Source organism: Homo sapiens, chromosome 14 (assembly GCF_000001405.40).
Source record: "Homo sapiens chromosome 14, GRCh38.p14 Primary Assembly".
Taxonomy (NCBI): domain Eukaryota; kingdom Metazoa; phylum Chordata; class Mammalia; order Primates; family Hominidae; genus Homo; species Homo sapiens.
The window spans coordinates 24669766-24687786 of NC_000014.9; the positions used below are offsets into that span (position 1 = coordinate 24669766).

General features: G+C 39.4%; 5 annotated features.

The window, feature by feature from the left end:
• Window positions 3276-3325: an enhancer, noted in NCBI's record as "active region_8219". NCBI's record gives its function as "activates an Ori minimal core promoter by ATAC-STARR-seq in GM12878 lymphoblastoid cells {active_cell/tissue: GM12878}" and the evidence as "EXISTENCE:reporter gene assay evidence [ECO:0000049][PMID:35858748]".
• Window positions 3565-4764: an enhancer, noted in NCBI's record as "P300/CBP strongly-dependent group 1 enhancer chr14:25142536-25143735 (GRCh37/hg19 assembly coordinates)". NCBI's record gives its function as "activates an origin of replication core promoter dependent on BRD2, BRD4, P300/CBP, MED14 and CDK7 cofactors, with strong dependence on P300/CBP, by STARR-seq in HCT116 cells {active_cell/tissue: HCT116}" and the evidence as "EXISTENCE:reporter gene assay evidence [ECO:0000049][PMID:35650434]".
• Window positions 3656-3705: an enhancer, noted in NCBI's record as "active region_8220". NCBI's record gives its function as "activates an Ori minimal core promoter by ATAC-STARR-seq in GM12878 lymphoblastoid cells {active_cell/tissue: GM12878}" and the evidence as "EXISTENCE:reporter gene assay evidence [ECO:0000049][PMID:35858748]".
• Window positions 5026-5075: an enhancer, noted in NCBI's record as "active region_8221". NCBI's record gives its function as "activates an Ori minimal core promoter by ATAC-STARR-seq in GM12878 lymphoblastoid cells {active_cell/tissue: GM12878}" and the evidence as "EXISTENCE:reporter gene assay evidence [ECO:0000049][PMID:35858748]".
• Window positions 9252-9431: a silencer, noted in NCBI's record as "silent region_5644". NCBI's record gives its function as "represses an Ori minimal core promoter by ATAC-STARR-seq in GM12878 lymphoblastoid cells {active_cell/tissue: GM12878}" and the evidence as "EXISTENCE:reporter gene assay evidence [ECO:0000049][PMID:35858748]".

Sequence of the window (18021 nt, forward strand, 5' to 3'; positions counted from 1 at the left end):
ACACTAAAAGAAACCATAAAGAAAGTTAAAAGACATGAATTCCAGAGCAATCTATTCCCATGAAGCATGTTCTTTTGGCAAGACATAGGTTTGGCAACAGATTTACTCAAGTTTGAATATTAGCTTGACCGTTTACTAACTTTGTGACTTAAGACCAAGTTATTTGAACTCTTGAGCTGTTTCCACATACATTAAAAAATGTCAGCACACAGGACTGCTAAAATGATTAAATGAGATAAGGTATGTGAAATACCATGCCCAGAGCTTGGCACATGGTAGGTACCAACCATAAACCAATTTAATGGTGTGGTTTTACCCAGGTAAATGCTGGTGAACTTTACATCTTCATTGTGAGCCAAATACATAAAGCTGACCTAGTTCGCAGATTTTAACCCTATAATTTCCCCTGCACATGCCAGCCATTTAGAAATAGTGGAACAACTCTTATGTCCCCCTTAATTATTTTATTTTTTTAAAGAGGGCTGTCTTTAATTTTCGATTTATCTTCTGAGATTATTTCAAATCTTCTTATCCATGTCAAATTTTATCTTCACTTCTTATTGACCCAATGGATGTTAACCATCTTCATACTCCGGAACATTCTTTATGGTAACCTAAGTGTAGCCTGTTATTTAGAATAGGAAACCATCATCAAACTGGTTTATTCTGCAGGCACTAGTCATGTATGAAACCACCTAACTTAGTACCTGGAACAAAATTGATGCTTAATAAACTTGTGTGGAATATAAGTCATCATAATGTTAAAGATTCTATTAAAAATTATAAATATTTCAACATTTAAAACATGGAGAAAATAGTGCCATAATACCCATGCACTCATCATCCAGATTAAACAGTTGTCAAGGCTTACTATATTTTAAAAAAAATGCTACTTTAAGTATTGCACACTGAAATCTGTTCTGAGTCAAACATTAGAAAAGATTTGGAAAAAAGTATGACCTGGTATTACCTCAGCCATGGCATCACATCCCTTCTTGTGACACATCAGTCATGGGTGGGCTCTCCAATAGGCTCACCACAAACACCTGGGATCGAATGCCAGGAAAGGTGAGGGAGGACCCTTCTTCACACTTCAGGCACACAGAAATGAAAGTTGAAGAAGAGGTGACTGTGGTTGATTGTTCCAGTAATGTGCAAATCATAGGTCAGGTCTTTTAAATACTATTCTGTCATATCAAATGAATCCAACCATATTACAGCAAAGGCTTTTCTGGAAGGTGAAAAATTTACATGCCATACTCCACTTTAATTAAAAACAATGAATGAATGTAAAGTCCACATCGACACGGAAATTTTTCCTGGAAAAATGACAGGGTTTCTCCACTGGGGCCTATACTCCACTTCATTTGTGTTAGGAAACTCTGAGGAGAACCCACACCCACATGTGTAGATTGAGTTTCCATTATCCACCTGATGATTCTCAAATATAGAGGTCCAGTCCAGAATTCTCTCCCTAGCTCCAGATTGATAATCCTAATTGACTTCTGGCACCTTCAGTTGGATTCTCCATGGACATATCAAACTCAAGGTACAAAACTGGGCTAATTATTTCCTCTCCCTTTCCAAATGGAACCTTCTGGAACACCTCAGTATTCTTGGGTTTAACTTTCATAAACTACTCCTACTTTTAGAAAATTGAAGTAAAATCTACATGACATAAAATTAACCATTTTAAAGTGCACAGTTCAGTAGCATTTAGTACATTCATACTGTTTTGAAATCATTATCTCAAGACATTTTCATCACCCCAAAAGGAAACTTCCATACCCATGAAACAATCACACTCCATTCCTCCATTTCCCCCAGCCCCCGAAAAACACAATGTATATCTATGGATTTATCTGTTCTAGATATTTAATATAAATGGAGTCATGTAATATGCAACCCTTTGTGTTTGTCTTCTTTAACTCAATGTAATGTCTTCAAGGTTCACCCATGTTGTAGCATGAATCAGTACTTCATTCCTTTTTAAGGCTGAATAATATTCTACTGTATAGATATATCACATTTTATTATCTATTCATCAGTTGATAGATATTACCCACTTTTTAGCTATTGTGTATAGTGCTGCTAATGTTGAGCAACTGTCAAACTCTTCATCATTTTACATTTACATTCTACCTTTTATATTCCTGCAGCAACGTACAAGGATTCTAATTTCTCCACATTCTTGCCAACACTTGCTTTCCTTTAAAACATTAATTTTTATTTTAGCTATCCTAGTAGGTATGAAATGGTATCTCATTGTGGTTCTGATTCCTGTTTCCCTAATGTCTAATGATATTGAACCTCCCTCTCCCTATCTGCTCATGTCTAGTCTTGTGACATTAGGAAGAGGCAAATTTATAGCTCATTTTAGAAACATAACTGAAGTTTGAGGCAATGCATTCTTGGATACCAACCTTAATCCTGGCTTCATTTATATTAGCACCCTTACTTCCCCTTTATTTTTAACTCTTCATTTAAAATTTTTATTTATTATGTGGTACAAAATTTTTGCAAGCTGCCTTTTTTATTTTTTAAAATCTAGAGTATAAGTAAATTTAAAAGTCCCATGTCATTTACCTCTTATCCTTTTTTAAAAAGCAAAACAAAACAACTTTTATTGTTTTCTTTAAACACACATAAACTAAATGTTTATTTTGGAAATTTACAAATTGGACTCAACACGTAAAAAAGTAAAAAGAGTAAAATAAAAATCTTCTATAAACACACCACTAACCATGGTTAGTATTTTGGCATTATTTTTTCAGTCTTTACCTATATACCTATATATCATCTCTCTAGTCACACTACTTTTTAAAAATGAGATTATATTATACATTCTTTTTTCATAACATACTATTTTCATCTAACAATATATCATGATCATTTTACCTCATAATTAACTATGCTGCCATGGTTGTAAATTTTTAAACTTTGATTTGCATTATCACTGGAGTTACCTATTAAAATAAAGATTCCAAGTCTACTCCCAGTGCTTCTGACTCCGTCATTGGGATCCACATCCAGAAATCTGTATTTTTTACAGGCTTCTGAGCGATTCTAATATGGGCCATCTTGGGCTCTTTGAGATTACTTCCACACTACTAATTTCAACTATTGCTGAATTTTTCATTGTGTGGATACAGCACTATTTATTCAACCAGTTACTTATTTGGGGTCATTTAGATTATTGGTATTTTTCATTATTTTATTCATCTGCTGAAAAAATCCTTATTCCTACAACTTTGCTGTCATCCATGACTGAGCATTTGTTGCTTATACCCAAACTGTGTGGTATGTTACAGTGATGGGGCTTGGTGAGTGCTCTTCTCATCATTGAATGGGGATTGAGATGCAGATGCTGGAGAAAGCCTCTCAAAAAGCCACATCAGGCCCTGAAATGTGATTGAGAGGACTTAGGGTTTCACAGGAGAAGTGGAAAGGGGAAGCAGCTCAGTGTGTGAGGAAGTGAGATTCAAATTCCGTGTGCTTGAACCTGGAAGCCAAAAGAGCTTATACACCTGGGGCCCAGCCAGCAGTCGCTTATTTCTCTAGAAACTAAGAGAGGGACTAAAATACTCCCTTTTGTTGAAAATTTCAAAGTGGGGGCATCAGCCTTGGGTCAAAAAGAAGGAATAATGGGAGGAGAGAGAGCAGAATGAGACAGCACAGCTTTCTGTCCCAGCACAGCTCATGAAAGAGAGGCCATGCAAAATGAAAGCATTCTTTGCACTAAAAATTTCTGAGAGACACCAAGGCACAAATAGAGTTGCTTTGGTGTTGAAATGTCAAAAGAGGTGTAGCCACCATTTAGGGATGTGACACATTGAGGTTTGGATGCTTTAAAGAACTTCAAAGAAAACGCAGCATCTTTTTGGGTCTTGATGGCCGGTGCCCTTTCAAAGAACATTAGAGAAGATGATGGCTCAGTGGTGTCACCACAGATAGTGCTGAAGTGCTTTGATGTAGCTTTGCGGGCTGTATCAGTCTCAGCAGGAAGAAGGATGAGTCAATGTCGAAGAAAGGAAAACCTAGTTCCGGGGACTGGCCAAGGACTTGCGTGTGAGAACTTGCGATGCATCTCCTTTGAGGGACTTTCAGGAATTATGTGGAAGGAGGGAAAAGGTGAGGATGTGAGTAGTGTACCTGGAATCCCAAAATTCTACATTAGGAATGGAGACAAAAGGCAGAAAAATTCAGGTCACTCATGGACCAGAGCTACAAGGGAAGTGCCCACCTAAGAAGTTGTAGAGGGCGGTGTGTGCTGGAAAGGATTGCTCATGTCCATGTGGGGTGTGTGATTACAGGAGTGGGTGAGGGAAAGGGTATCCTCTGAATCATTTATCAGAAGCCCCTCAGGGGCGACCAGAACCCCTAGGTTATTTCTTAGCAAACTCAGCCTCTTTTCTCATTTTGAGGTGGGTGAGGAAAACTAATTTTCCTCTCCGCCCCCATTTCTCCTGCTCCCCACCCTAAGCTCACTGAGAGTGAATGTTTGCCCCTGAAATAGAATCAGTTCTAAGAAAACTCCCTCGACATCCTGCTCCATGTCAAAATAAAATATGACTGTGGGTGGGGGAATGGAAAGAGGGGTGGTCGGGGGCTGAGGTCATTGCTGAGGATGGGCTGTCCTTGTGCAAAAGGAGCTTATGGAGTGGCCCCATGGAAGAAGCAGGTACATGCTGTAAGTAAAGCACAAAATCTCTAGGTGTCTGGGTTGGTCCCAGCAAAAGCCTAAGAGTGCCCAGAACCGGATGTAGCAGCTTCCTGTTTGCTATTTCACACAACTCTGCAAAGAGCAACAAGGTTTTTCAGCCATATCCAGATTACACTTGTCTACTTGAATTTATTAATTAATCTGGGGAGAATTACCATTTTTAAAACTTTGTGTGTTCCCATCTGTAACATTCAGCAATATTTTTGATTCAAGTGAGAGAAACCTGACATAGCAGTGCAAACAGTAACGGTTTCTGTTTCTTATATGACAACCAGTCTGGAGATGAGCAGTCCAGGGCTGCTGAAGTGACTGTGTAATGTTTCTCATCAGTGTCTTGGACTTCTGTATGTATATGTTGATATTCCCCCTTATGCTTATTGCTTCCTTGCCACAAGATGGTTGCAGCTACTCCAGGCATCAAGTCAGATTTGTATCAGGAACAAGGAAGAAGAAAGAGGGTTGATGCCTCACCCAAAAAGCAAAAGAAAAAATAAAATAACAATAAAATAGAAATGATCTCAGACTTTTGTTTACCTTTTATTGGTCAGAACTTTGTAAAATATTATGCCTATCTGAAAGAAAATTTAGCAAAAATATATTTTATACTCCTCTCTCCCTAAATTTTGAATTTTGTTCACAAAAAAGGTGATGCCAAGGTTTCGTATAGATAACTTGTAGCTCTGCTACACCATCCATCAATATTTTATATCTTTTCAATTTATTAAGTCTTCTTTTATGTTCCTTATAAGCTTTTATTATTTTAATCTGTACATATCTTACATCTCTGTTGGATTTGTTTCTAGACATCCTGTACTTTTATTACTGTTACCTTTAAAAATACATATTTTCATTGGTTGTTGTATAGGAATTGGTTTTTGTATATTGAGCTCATTGAGTATAATTAGTTGTACTAGTTTGTAGATTCTCTTGGGTCATCTATGTAGAGAAGATAGACAGGCATATCATCTATAAACATTACTACTTTATTTTATTTCCCAATCCTTACATTTATTCCCTTTTCTTATCTTATTGATAGGTTGGGACCTCAAATACAAGCCCATTTAGAAGGAAGGCTAGAAAGGTAAAAGTTTCTAAGATTATACCATTTAGATATTTGCTATTTTTTTATTATTTGTTTTTGTAGTTCATGCAAGAGGGGTGGTTTGTATTAGGGTAGTGGCGGTAGAGAAAAATAGAAGTGACTATGTTTGTTGAGGTATTTAGGAAATGGAACCACAGGGACTTGGTGATTGATGCATTTGTGGGGTAAGGAAAAGAATGAAGCCAGTTAAAAAAACATTGTATTTTGACATAATTTCAGGATTACAGAAAAGTTGCAAGAATAAGACAAATAATTTCTGGACACCCCTCACCAAGATTCAAAATGTCAACATTTTCTACATTTCTCACTCTTTCTCTCTCTTTCTTCTTCTTATTATTATACTTTAAGTTTGGGGATACATGTGCAGAACGTGCAGGTTTGTTACATAGGTATACACGTGCCATTGTGGTTTGCCGCACCCATCAACTCGTCATCGACTTTAGGTATTTCTCCTAATGCTATCCCTCCCCTAGCCCCCCACCCCCCAGCAGGCCCTGGTGTATGATGTTCTCCTCCCTGTGTCCATGTGTTCTCATTGTTCAACTCCCATTTATGAGTGGGAACATGCAGTGTTTAGTTTTCTGTTCCTGTGTTAGATTGCTGAGAATGATGGTTTCCAGCTTCATCCATGTCCCTGCAAAGGAAATGAACTCATTCTTTTTTATGGCTGCATAGTATTCTATGGTGTATATGTGCCACATTTTCTTTATCCAGCATTTATGTGGCCAACAAACATATGAAAAAAAGCTCATCATCACTGGTCATTAGAGAAATGCAAATCAAAACCACAATGAGATACCATCTCACGCCAGTTAGAATGACAATCATTAAAAAGTCAGGATATGCTGCAGAGGATATGGAGAAATAGGAACGCTTTTACACTGTTGGCAGGAGTGTAAATTAGTTCAACCACTGTGGAAGACAGTGTGATGATTCCTCAAGGATCTAGAACCAGGAATGCCATTTGACCCAGCAATCTCATTACTGGGTATATACCCAAAGGATTAGAAATCGTTCTCTTTCTTTTTTTCTTTCTTTTCTCTCTCTCTTCCATTTAAAAGTAATTTGCAGGTATATTGCCTTTCTACAACTAAATTCTTCAGTGTGTTTTTCCAAAAGCAAGAAATTCTCTTTTAAACCTTGACCACTATTAAAATCCAAAGTTAATAATGCTATGTGCTATTATTTAATCTACAGAATTTTTTCATATTTTTCCAATTTTTCTAATAATGTCCCTTATAGCAATAGAAAATTCGAGATCATGCATAGCACTTTGTTGTCTTTCTTTCTTTAGTTTCCTTTAATCTGGAGCAGTTTCTGAGTCTTTCTATGTATTTCATGGCTTTGACAGTTTTTAAGAGGACAGGCAGTTGTTTTGTAGATGGTCCTCAGTTTGGGTTTGTCTGATGTTCCACATGATCACATGCAGATTATGGACTTTTGGCAGGGATCTCACAGAAGCAATGCTGAGTTTTTGCATCACATCAGGAGGCTCTGCTGTCAACGAGTTTCATTATTGGAAGTGTCACATTCCATCAACTGGTTAAAATTAAACCTGCTTGGTTTCTCCAGTAAGTTAGTACATTTACCAATTTACCTTTTGTAATCAATTAAGTATCTTGTGGGGAGATACTCCTTAAATGTTCTCCTACTAGTTGCAATCGTCTTGCCTAAAAGAATTATTATTAGGATGACTGACAAATTATTTTCTGATTTTGTCATTCTTTCTACATTTATTATTATCTGACTTTCTTCTGTAAAGAAAAGCCTTCCCTTCTCTCCTACTTACTGTTTATACATTCATTTATTTATATCAGTGTGGACTTTGGAATTCTTACTTTATTCAATAGGTTATAATGCTATTATTTATTTTGATGCTCAAATTGTCCCGTGTTTGAGGAAGTAGTTGATTTTAATTTTCAGGTGTTTGGCTTAGACAACTGATTGAGTGAGCCTGCTTTTAACTGAAATAAGAAACCAAGGAGGAGGAGAAATATGTTTCCACTTGTTGCTTTACTTTGCATCCTTTGACTACTTGTAAACTTTAATTCACATGTATTTATCTCCTTTTGTGAATCATTTATTCATATCCTGTGTCCATTTCCCTATTTGTTTTCAGAATCTTTTATTGTTTAAGGATATCAGTTTTTCTCTGACGTGAACATTACAAATTGCTTATTGAGAGGATACAATGAACTAGAAGTTTTACCAACAATCTTATTTAACCCTCACAACAATCCTCTGACATAGTACTATTATTATTTTCATTTTATAGATGAGAAGGCAAGAGGTCTTAGAAATATTGCTCCAAATCATGGGCTAGCAACCACTGAAAGCCAGGATTTAAACCCATATCTGTGATACCAAAACTTTGATTCTTCATCTATAATTTTGCATGCTGCAGGCATGCAAAACTTTTTTAATGTTTTAAGAATGCTGGGAAATTGAATGTCATCCCCACAGCCCTTTTAAAGTTGTAGCCACAAAACCAGTTATTGTAATTACATCTTAAATGCAGATTTATTGTATCTAGCATGTCAGTACAAGTTGTATCATCATACTTATGCCATAGCAGCATTCCACATTCGTACTTGACAGTTCATTTGGGACTCAGCAAAATAAATATGTGAAGTAAGTGGGTGCTCACATTAAGGCTTGTTGAGAATGATGTGACATCTAGGAGACACCTGGTAAGGTTCATACACTTTGTGAAGATGACATGGTAGGGAAATGAAGACCACTGACTGAGAGCACAGCAACCCTGGGAGGCCTCCAAACTTAACTCCAGGAAGCACCTCAGCCTTTTATCTGGGAAACAGAAAGTTCAATAAAAATGGTCTTTGGGCAGGACGTGGTGGCTCACACCTGTAATCCCAGCACTTTGGGAGGCCAAGGCAGGTTTATTTCTTGAGCCCAGGAGCTCCAGACCAGCCTGGGAAATATGGTGAAACTCCTTCTCTACAAAAAATACAAAAATTAGGCGTGATGTTGTGCACCTGTAATCCCAGCTACTCGGGGGGCTGAGGCGGGAGGATCGCTTGATCCTCCCAGGGTGGTCGGGGTGAGCTGTGATCACGCCACTGCACTCCAGCCCGGGTGTCACAGCGAGACCCAGTTTAAAGAAAAAAATAAAAAGTCTCTGAGGCCCTTTCTGTCCCTGACTTTCTGGAATTCTCCCATTCTTCTATAATAGGCACTTCTTGGTTTCCCTCATTTTTGCTTACTTTATTTTTCTTTCTCTTTCTCCTTGACGTGTCCTCTCTCCTTAACTTCTTTTTTCTCCTCTGATGTGCCTTAAATTTGCCAGGGGCTCCCTTTGGAAAAACCCTGCCTGGCCCTATTATCCCCCTGATCAAAATGGTCACACGTTGGTGGCCTGGGGGCTGCCCTCCTTGACTCATAATGCCGGGACCCCTGATTTACACAGCAGGAGAGGGAGTGATCTGCGAACTCCTGAATTGCCGCCTTTCAGTTCCTGCGGCTGCTCTGACTGTCTGCATTGCGCCCTCTAGTGTCCAGACTGAGTTCTTTTACTGTCTAGACTGGGGAGTCCAGAGCAGATTCTTTTACCCGCCACGTGAGGGAGCAATTCAGGGAAAGTAAAACTATTAGTAAAAGACATTATTTTATTTTCAAATAATCGTAATTTTACCGAGTTCCTAGAAAAATGCACATTCTTAAAATTTATATTGTAAAACTTGTTGAATAGACGATCAATTAGAATATGGGAAGAAAGGTTTGGTTTCTAAAATATTAATAAGCATATTTGACATAGCAACCCAGGGAAAGCATCTAGTCACTTATTCCTTGTGTTCATACAGTCCTGTCCTTTACAGATCCCCAAGAGTGTGCATGTGTTTGATCTAAGTTTAGCCCCGAAATAGCTGGAAGGAGCTATCTCTAGCCCTGACATTTCCATGAAGCTCCAGATGGCCCGCTCAACTCTCCACATGTACCGACAGACAAAACAAATGCAATTGTGTGCAAAGCAGAACTCTAGATTCCTCCTCTCCCGACCCTGCTCCACCCCATTCCCCCTTGGCACCGCCAGCCACTTATTACCATAGGCCCAAAGCCTAGGAGTCATTCTTGACCTTTCTCTTTCCCGCACCTTGCAGCCAGTTCACTGGTCATTCCTGTTAGCTCCACTTTCAAAATATATTCCAAATATAACCACTTCTTGGCACGGACACCGCTACCATCTTAGTCCAAGTCCTCATTATCTTTCTTTTGATGACAGCAGTAACATTCTAAGTGGTCTGCGTCGTTCTCCCCTCCCCTTGCCCTCACTTGCTTCACTTAAACAACCACAGCGATCTTAGAAAAATGTATCACATCTGTGTTCAGAACCCTCCAATGACTTCCTGTCTCATTTAGAATTAAACTGCAAAGTCTTTCCCATGGCCTACTCTCTGACCTTGCCCTCCTCCACTCTTCCCACCCCTCACTCCTTTCCACCTGCAGGAATGTCCTTTCTGAAATGCTCTATTCCCAGATCTTTATTTTCTCCTTTGCTTTCTTCAGGTCTCTACTCGAATGCCAACCCCTCAGAAAAGACTCTCTTAGCCACCCTGTCACGGGTAGCCACCTCCACACTCTCTGGTCCCATATCCTGATGTATTTTTCTTTCAGCATTTACCCCTGAGAGAAGATTCCCTGTCTCTGTGTGTTCATACTCTGCCCTCCCCTGACTAAGATGTAACTAAGATGTCAGATTCATGGCCAGATCATTTGTTTTGTTCCTTGCTGAATCCTCAGCTTTAAGCATATAGTGGCCATTCATTGATGGATGAAGGAATAAATAAATTATTAGTTTGAACCTTGTGAAATTGTTGACATTCTAAAAATTCTGGGCCACAAAAATAGCAATTCCAATAGTTCATCTTCATAATATAATATCGTTAGCATTTTATACCTAGGAAAACTGAAACTCAATGAGTCAAGTGACTTCCCCAAGTGAAATAAAGAAAGAATGAGAGGCAGACTGAGAGCACTTCATTTCGTTCATGCAACACTGAATTGTGTTCTGGACACTGCTAGGTGTGGGAGCCACTGAGGAGAAGGGCCTGCCCCATCTCCTAACTCAGCCACTCTGCCTTTGTGGCTAAAGGATCTCTTGCCAGCTCTGACTGGCGGAATGGGCAGGGCTACGTGTGAACCCAGAGCAGCCACCACCTCTCTGCAGAAGGGCCAGTGTCAGGGCAGTGTGGACTGATCCCCACTGCTTCTGTGACCTCTGGCACTCAGGGCTCCTGCCTGGTGGGCCTCGACCCTATTCCTTCTGTCTCAGAGGAAATGTAGAAAAATGTAGAACTGCTTCTGCATAGTGCCACTCCTCTGTCTATCCCCAATCTCCTCTTCAACATTGTGAAGCTGGAAATGACGCACATAGGGCACCCTCTTGACTGCTACTCCCCATGCATTTCTGACCCTCATAAGAGAGGCTGGATGGGAAACCACACTGATCCTCCAATACTTCTATGCTCAATAAGCCATCTGTGAGTTGGAAAGGAATTCAGAAATGGGGAAGGGGGCAGGTCGACCTATTTTGCTTTCACAGCAAAGGGTGTGTAGCATCAGGGTGACATTCAGGGCTGATTATTAGGTTGGTGCAAAAGTTATTGTGGTTTTTGCCATTACTTTTGCACCAACCTAAAAAATGTGTCAAATTTTTCTTCCCCAGACAGCTGGCCCTCTGAGTCACAGTGGGAGCAGTATGTAACAGGAGGGGAGAAGAAAATGAAAAAGCCACACAACTGTCTCTTTCTTTGAGCCCTTTTCCAAGCTCTCCTTAAATTTTCAGTTTCTCCTCTTGGTCATTCTCCCCAACAAGTGCTTTGTTTCAGAATTATTAATAACTGGAAAAGTTCTGTTTTTTTTCTCTTTAACTGGCATTTTGCTTATCCTGTGGCTTATTGAGCCCTAGGGAATTTATGCCCTATAAATAAATGACTATTATTATTATGTAGCTGTATTCAGAGCATTAGTTGAAAGGGAGAAGTGACATTTTTCTTTATTTGCTTTAGAAATGTGTTGTAGTCACAATAGCTCTCCTCCTGCCTGGGATTAATGGCATAATTATTCACACCGGGCAACAGAGATGGAATGAGTTTGAACTTGGCATGAATTAATACACCAAAATATGCCTCTTGTTCTTGCTCACTGCCTAATTAATTCTGAATTATGAAATTCTCTGTGAGCTACCCAAAAAGCATGGTCACCGGATTCTGGTGCAATTGTTCTTTCTTTGCACTAAAAATCAAGTGATTTGATAGTTATGGGCTGTTTGGAAAGAGAATGTCCATTTGAATATCCTAGGAAGGAAGGAACAGACCTCATAAGGGATTTTTCTAGAGGTTTTATAGTAAATAACCTGTGTATGATGGACATGCAAGGGCCCCCAGGGGAGACTGAGCTTTGCATGAACCAGCTTTACTGCTAGAGAAATAGAGGACTTAGGAGTACTGTGCCTTGATGTCTAGAATTTACACTATAGAAGGCCATGCCTTTGGATTAGGATATTTTGTTCAGAGGTTCCCAGTTAAATATGAATGAGTTGTCCATGGAGAATAGCACAATCACCTACCAACTCCCAACATAGGGTAAGGAGAACTTGCCACTGCATGACCAACTTTACTCACACTTTGCTAGCTTTTGCCAACACCTCTGCCGGGGATGAAGAATCATGTGAATTATTGGAGCTCAAGACATTGAGTATATGAGCAGTTTCTTATTGTGGCATAAGAAACACAAACACAGCCCCTGCTCCCTTGCTCTCTCTTTCATCCCATGGGGGTATGAAAGTGAATTCAGGACTGATCACTCTCTTCAGTTGCCCTTTCTGCAGTTACCTAGAGAGGATAAAATCCCATTAATTGGATTCAGGACTTGGACAAGAAGGTTGAGCTGTAGGGTCTTAGTCAACCATTATTAGGACTTTGACCTGGAGTTTTGGGGCACTTGTACACCATCAGTACAGGATATTTTAATTCTTATTTGTTTTATTCTTTGTGGGTGCCCCTCCCACAGTCCTCGGAGAACTGAAGGGGAGAGAATAACTGGCATGACAGTATTTTAATATCTTTCTTTGTGTTTTTGGCAATGATATGATCTAACACTATCAATATAAAAATTCTAATGTTAAATATGGTATATTCATTGCTCATCTGAGCATCAATTAGTGCATCCTCTTACCTTGAAATGATGGCTTTCTACTGGATTTCCCCATCCACATGTACACATCCTGTGCTATCTCTCATTTGGAAAACAAAATGAGACAGGAGTCTGTAAACTTCTTCATTCCCTTCAGGTAATTCTTCATGTCTCTGCTTCCCTTTAATGAAAATTTATAAAAAAAAATGTGTATTTTTGTCTTCATTTTTTCAACTTATATTCTATCCAATTCTTGCCAATCTATGTTTCCCACCAATTAATGGAAATCATCTTTGTTAAAGTCATCAATATCCTCCTCCTTGCTAAATTTAGTATCATTTCTGTATCTTTTTCTTTTCCTCAGCAGTGTCTGACACTATGGACTATGCTGTCTTTCATAAAGCACGTTTGTTTGTTTGTTTGTTTTTTTACTGGCCTCTCATCTGGTTCTTTCCTGCTTCCTTCTAACATCTTTGTCCATGGTTTCTCAGTCTGTTTTCCTGGAGTCTCCTCTTCCCAGGCTCAGTCTGTCTCTTTATCTGTGCTTATTCCCTATGTAATCTCATTGAGTTCTATGGCCTTAAATACATTACCCATACACAGATGACTCCTGTGTTAACTAACTACTGTCACAGTAGCAGGTAGCCCCAATATCTCACTGCCTTACAAAAACGATTTATTTCTTGACCATTTACGCTAAGGCTGTGGGTCAGCTGTGGCTCTGCTTAGCTTTGCTAAACTCAGTGTGACTTATCCTAGATTGAAGAGCCCTTTTCTGGAATACGTTGTCTTATTGTGGAAAATAGAGCAAGAGAGTGCAACACAAACCATGAAATCATATTTAAAGCTTTTTCTCAGATATGTACATGTCCTCACATCTTATTAACTGAATTATTTCATGTATCCAAATATGTGAAGTGGAGACACATTGTCTCTCCGAAGAGGGAAGACAACTCACATGACAGAAAGTGAGTGAGGATAAATCATCCTATTAGACTATGGGAACAAATAATTGGGAATAATAATCTATCATGATCCAACATTGATCACATATATTTTCTTCCCTCAGAATACATCATATTCTTGCCCATAAAAACTTAGCCTAAGGGCTGGCTGACACCTGTGATTCCAGCACTTTGGGAGGTTGAGGCAGGAGGATCACTTGAGCCCAGGAGGTTGAGGTTGCTGTGAGCTGTGATCACACCACTGCACTCCAGCCTGTGTGACAGAAAAAGACCCCATCTCTAAAGTCATTTAAAAGCAAATTAGCCTAAGGGCCAACTTTGCTTTTCAAATAGTCACAGACTGGCAGCACTTTTGACAACCTAACTCTCTCAAACACTTTGTTGTATTGTTTTAATCTATTTGGTACTGGTTGGATCCATGTTCCAATAGACACAACCATTACTCATTTCAAGAAAGACTTTCTCTAGACTTGATTATGGGTATGTGGGTATATCATGCTTTCATAGGAACGTACTCTTGATCTCTTTTCCCTGAGCCGTTTTGTCCAGTGGTGGAAAAAAAAATGTCTGCAAGTCACCTTAATCCAACCAGAAATCTTAACATAGGCCTGATGATGACACCTTTGGTTCTGTCTTTGCCCTGAGATGGAGTATTAAAAGGCCTTTCTATTTCAAGGAATACTTAAATTTTATATTTTATAGGTGGGAGGTGAGAAGGATTTTATTGTCCAAACTTGAAGGCCCAGAATTTCTTTGCTGCCTATTTTCCATCTCATTCATTGAAATAGGTGAATTCTTTCTGAGCTCACCTCTTATTCATATTACCATCATGCTCTCTTTCAATTTTTCAATCCTTCTATATTTGTCCATATGCAGCAAGTCCATTAGGAACATTATCTGCCTTCCAAGTTTAGAAGACACAATTTGACCAAACTTTTCACGACTGCATATCATGAATCTTACTTGTCCAACCTCCTGGAAGAATTCCCTTGCTACCTAGCCCTAAAGTTAATGCCTCATATTTTATATTTTTAGATATGGTAGCACTTCTGTTACCAATTTTTTTATTAGTTGGCCTTTACTGAGGTTGCAAATAACTCCAACATATCAGTATTTAACAACAATAAACATTTATTGATTTCTTGTTCATGTTACATGAGGGCTGAGGGATTATCTGTGACTCAGCTCAGCTTGACTGTGTTCAAGTCCATGCGTCTTTTTATTTCAGGACCCAGAACTGATGTAGCCACCCTTATCTTGGACATATTGTTCTTATAGTGTGGAGAGCAGGAACAATAGAAACAGAGGTAAACCAGATAATCACATCAGAAACTTCTAGTTTGACATAGGAAACTTACATCTGGGTGGCCAGAACATGCTCATAAATTCCATGAGGAAGGAAGGTATAGTCATCCCTGGAAGAAAAAGTCACATGACCAGAAAGAGAGCAAATAGCTGGGGTCAATAATACAATCTTCTAAGACTCCCAGATGTATGTCTTTAGCACTGGCATCTCTTCCTTTTGAGCACCAAACATATATTTAACTGCCTACCCAACATTGCTATTGAGATGTCCAATAAGCATCTCAGATTTAATATGCCTTAAACAAAACTCCTGAGTGCTCTGTTCACCCCAACCTGTTATGCCCTGCCTTCCATACCTCAATAAATACCATCAGTATTCTCCCAGGTAATCAGGAGGAAACCTCCAAGTTTTATTTGATTCGCTTTTCCCTTTCATAGTCAATGCATGAGTAAATTCTGCTGGTTCTACCTTCAATATACATCCCGATTTCTTACCATCGCCAGCACCATCATCCTAATAATCTTCTAACTTGTCTCCCTGCTTCTATTCTTGCCTCCCTAGAATAAATTCCTCATACAGAAGACAGAGAGATCTTTGAAGCATGCAAACTATATCTTGTTAGTCCCTGCCCCAAACCCTGCAACGTCCTGGTTCCTACACAGACACTGGGTTTCTATTCTACATGGTCAAGTCAATAGTAGGTTCAGAGTGACAGAAAGATCAGTATTAGAAATTTATACACTTGGGTAAATCAAAAGAAATCTACTTCTCTAAAGGACAGTAAAAGCCCCTGTAGACTACACATCAAATGTATCAGCAACATTTTTCTGGACAAGTGGTGATTGTAAGCTTTTGGATCTCGAAATGTTTCATTAGCTATGAGTTCATGTCCTTTGTAGGGACATGGATGAAATTGGAAACCATCATTCTCAGCAAACTATTGCAAGGACAAAAAACCAAACACCGCATGTTCTCACTCATAGGTGGGAATTGAACAATGAGAACACATGGACACAGGAAGGGGAACATCACACTCTGGGGACTCTTGTGGGGTGGGGGGAGGGGGGAGGGATAGCATTAGGAGATATACCTAATGCTAAATGACGAGTTAATGGGTGCAGCACACCAGCATGTCACATGTATACATATGTAACTAACCTGCACATTGTGCACATGTACCCTAGAACTTAAAGTGTAAAAAAAAAAAAGTTTCATTAGCTAGCCACAGGTCACAGATAGCAATGTCTGAGTGAGTGAGTGTCACATCAGAACATTTGGAAGCTCAACCATCTCATTTTAGGTTCATTAAAAAAATTTGTATACATTTAAGGAGTACAAAGTGCAGTTTTGTTACATGGATATATTGCATAGTGGTCAATTCTGGGCTTTCAGTGTAACCATCACCCAAATAATGTGCATCGTACCCATTAAGTACTTTCTTGTCCCTCACCTCACTTCCACCCTCCCCACTTTATAGTCTCCAATGTGTATCATTCCACACTCTATGTCCATGTGTCCACATTATTTAGTTCCCACTTAAGTGAGAACAAGTGGTATTTGACTTTCTGTTTCTGTGTAGTTTCACTTAAGATAATGGCCTCCAGTTCCTGCATGTTCCATGTTGCTGCCCCCATCTCTACTACAAATACAAAAATTAGCTGGGTGTGCTGGTGCGCGCCTGTAGTAGCAGCTACTTGGGAGGCCGAGGCAAGAGAATCGTTTGAACCCGGGAGGCGGAGGTTGCAGTGAGCCGGGATTGTGTCACTGCACTCCAGCCTGGTGACAGAGTGAGACTCCATCTCAAACAAACAAACAAACAAACACCAGCAACCATGAGTTCATTCTTTTTTTATAGTTTGTATAGTATGAGGCTGGAAGAGTTCCGTGTGTCTCTTGGTATGGACTGTGGTTGGAGCCCAACTCTGCTGAACCAGGTACATTCAGGGTTATCCAACATCTAAGATCACTGGAGAGAACAGCATGCCACCATAGGTTTAGATGCAAATACAGCCCTCAGTTGACACCCCATCTTCCCCAGGCTGATAAAGCCTGATCCAAGTGATTCCTGAATGCAGTCATGTAGATCTAGGCTCTGTTATCCAGGAGTCCCTGAGAGTCATGCTAACTGGCCTTCAATGTGGTTCTAGTCCTCTCCTGCAGTTCTCCAGCATACTTCAAATAAAATTCAAAGTCCCGAAAATGTTTTTAAGGTCCAACATAATCTGGTTACTGCCTAACTTATTTCTTCTGCTGTGGCTACATTGGCTTCTTACTGGTCCTAGAAGATGCCAAGCTCATTTCTGCTTCAGAAATTGCACATGTATGGTCCCTTGAATGGATGCTCTTCATAAATCCCTCAGATGCCTTCTCTCACCATTTCATTCAGGTCTCTATCCACATGTCACCCCTCAACAAACACTTTTGGTCACTCAATCCAAAATAGCTCCTGCTCACATTCATATCACTTTATATTGCCTTTTTGTATCCACAATACTGACCACTCATCACTTGACATAATATGTTTATTTGTTTACTCTTTGTCTTCCCCACTAGGACATAAAATCCACAAGGGCAAGCATTTTGACTGTATTGGTTCCTTATGTATTCCCATCAATCGGAACAGCACTTAAAGAATTAAAAATGCTTAATAAATATTTGTAGAATAAATAATAAAATGCACGAGTGAATAAATGAGACAAAAGAGTTTGAAGAGGAATAAAGAAAATGTCTAGATGATGAAAATCCTTCTGACAACACCACACAGAAGTACAGT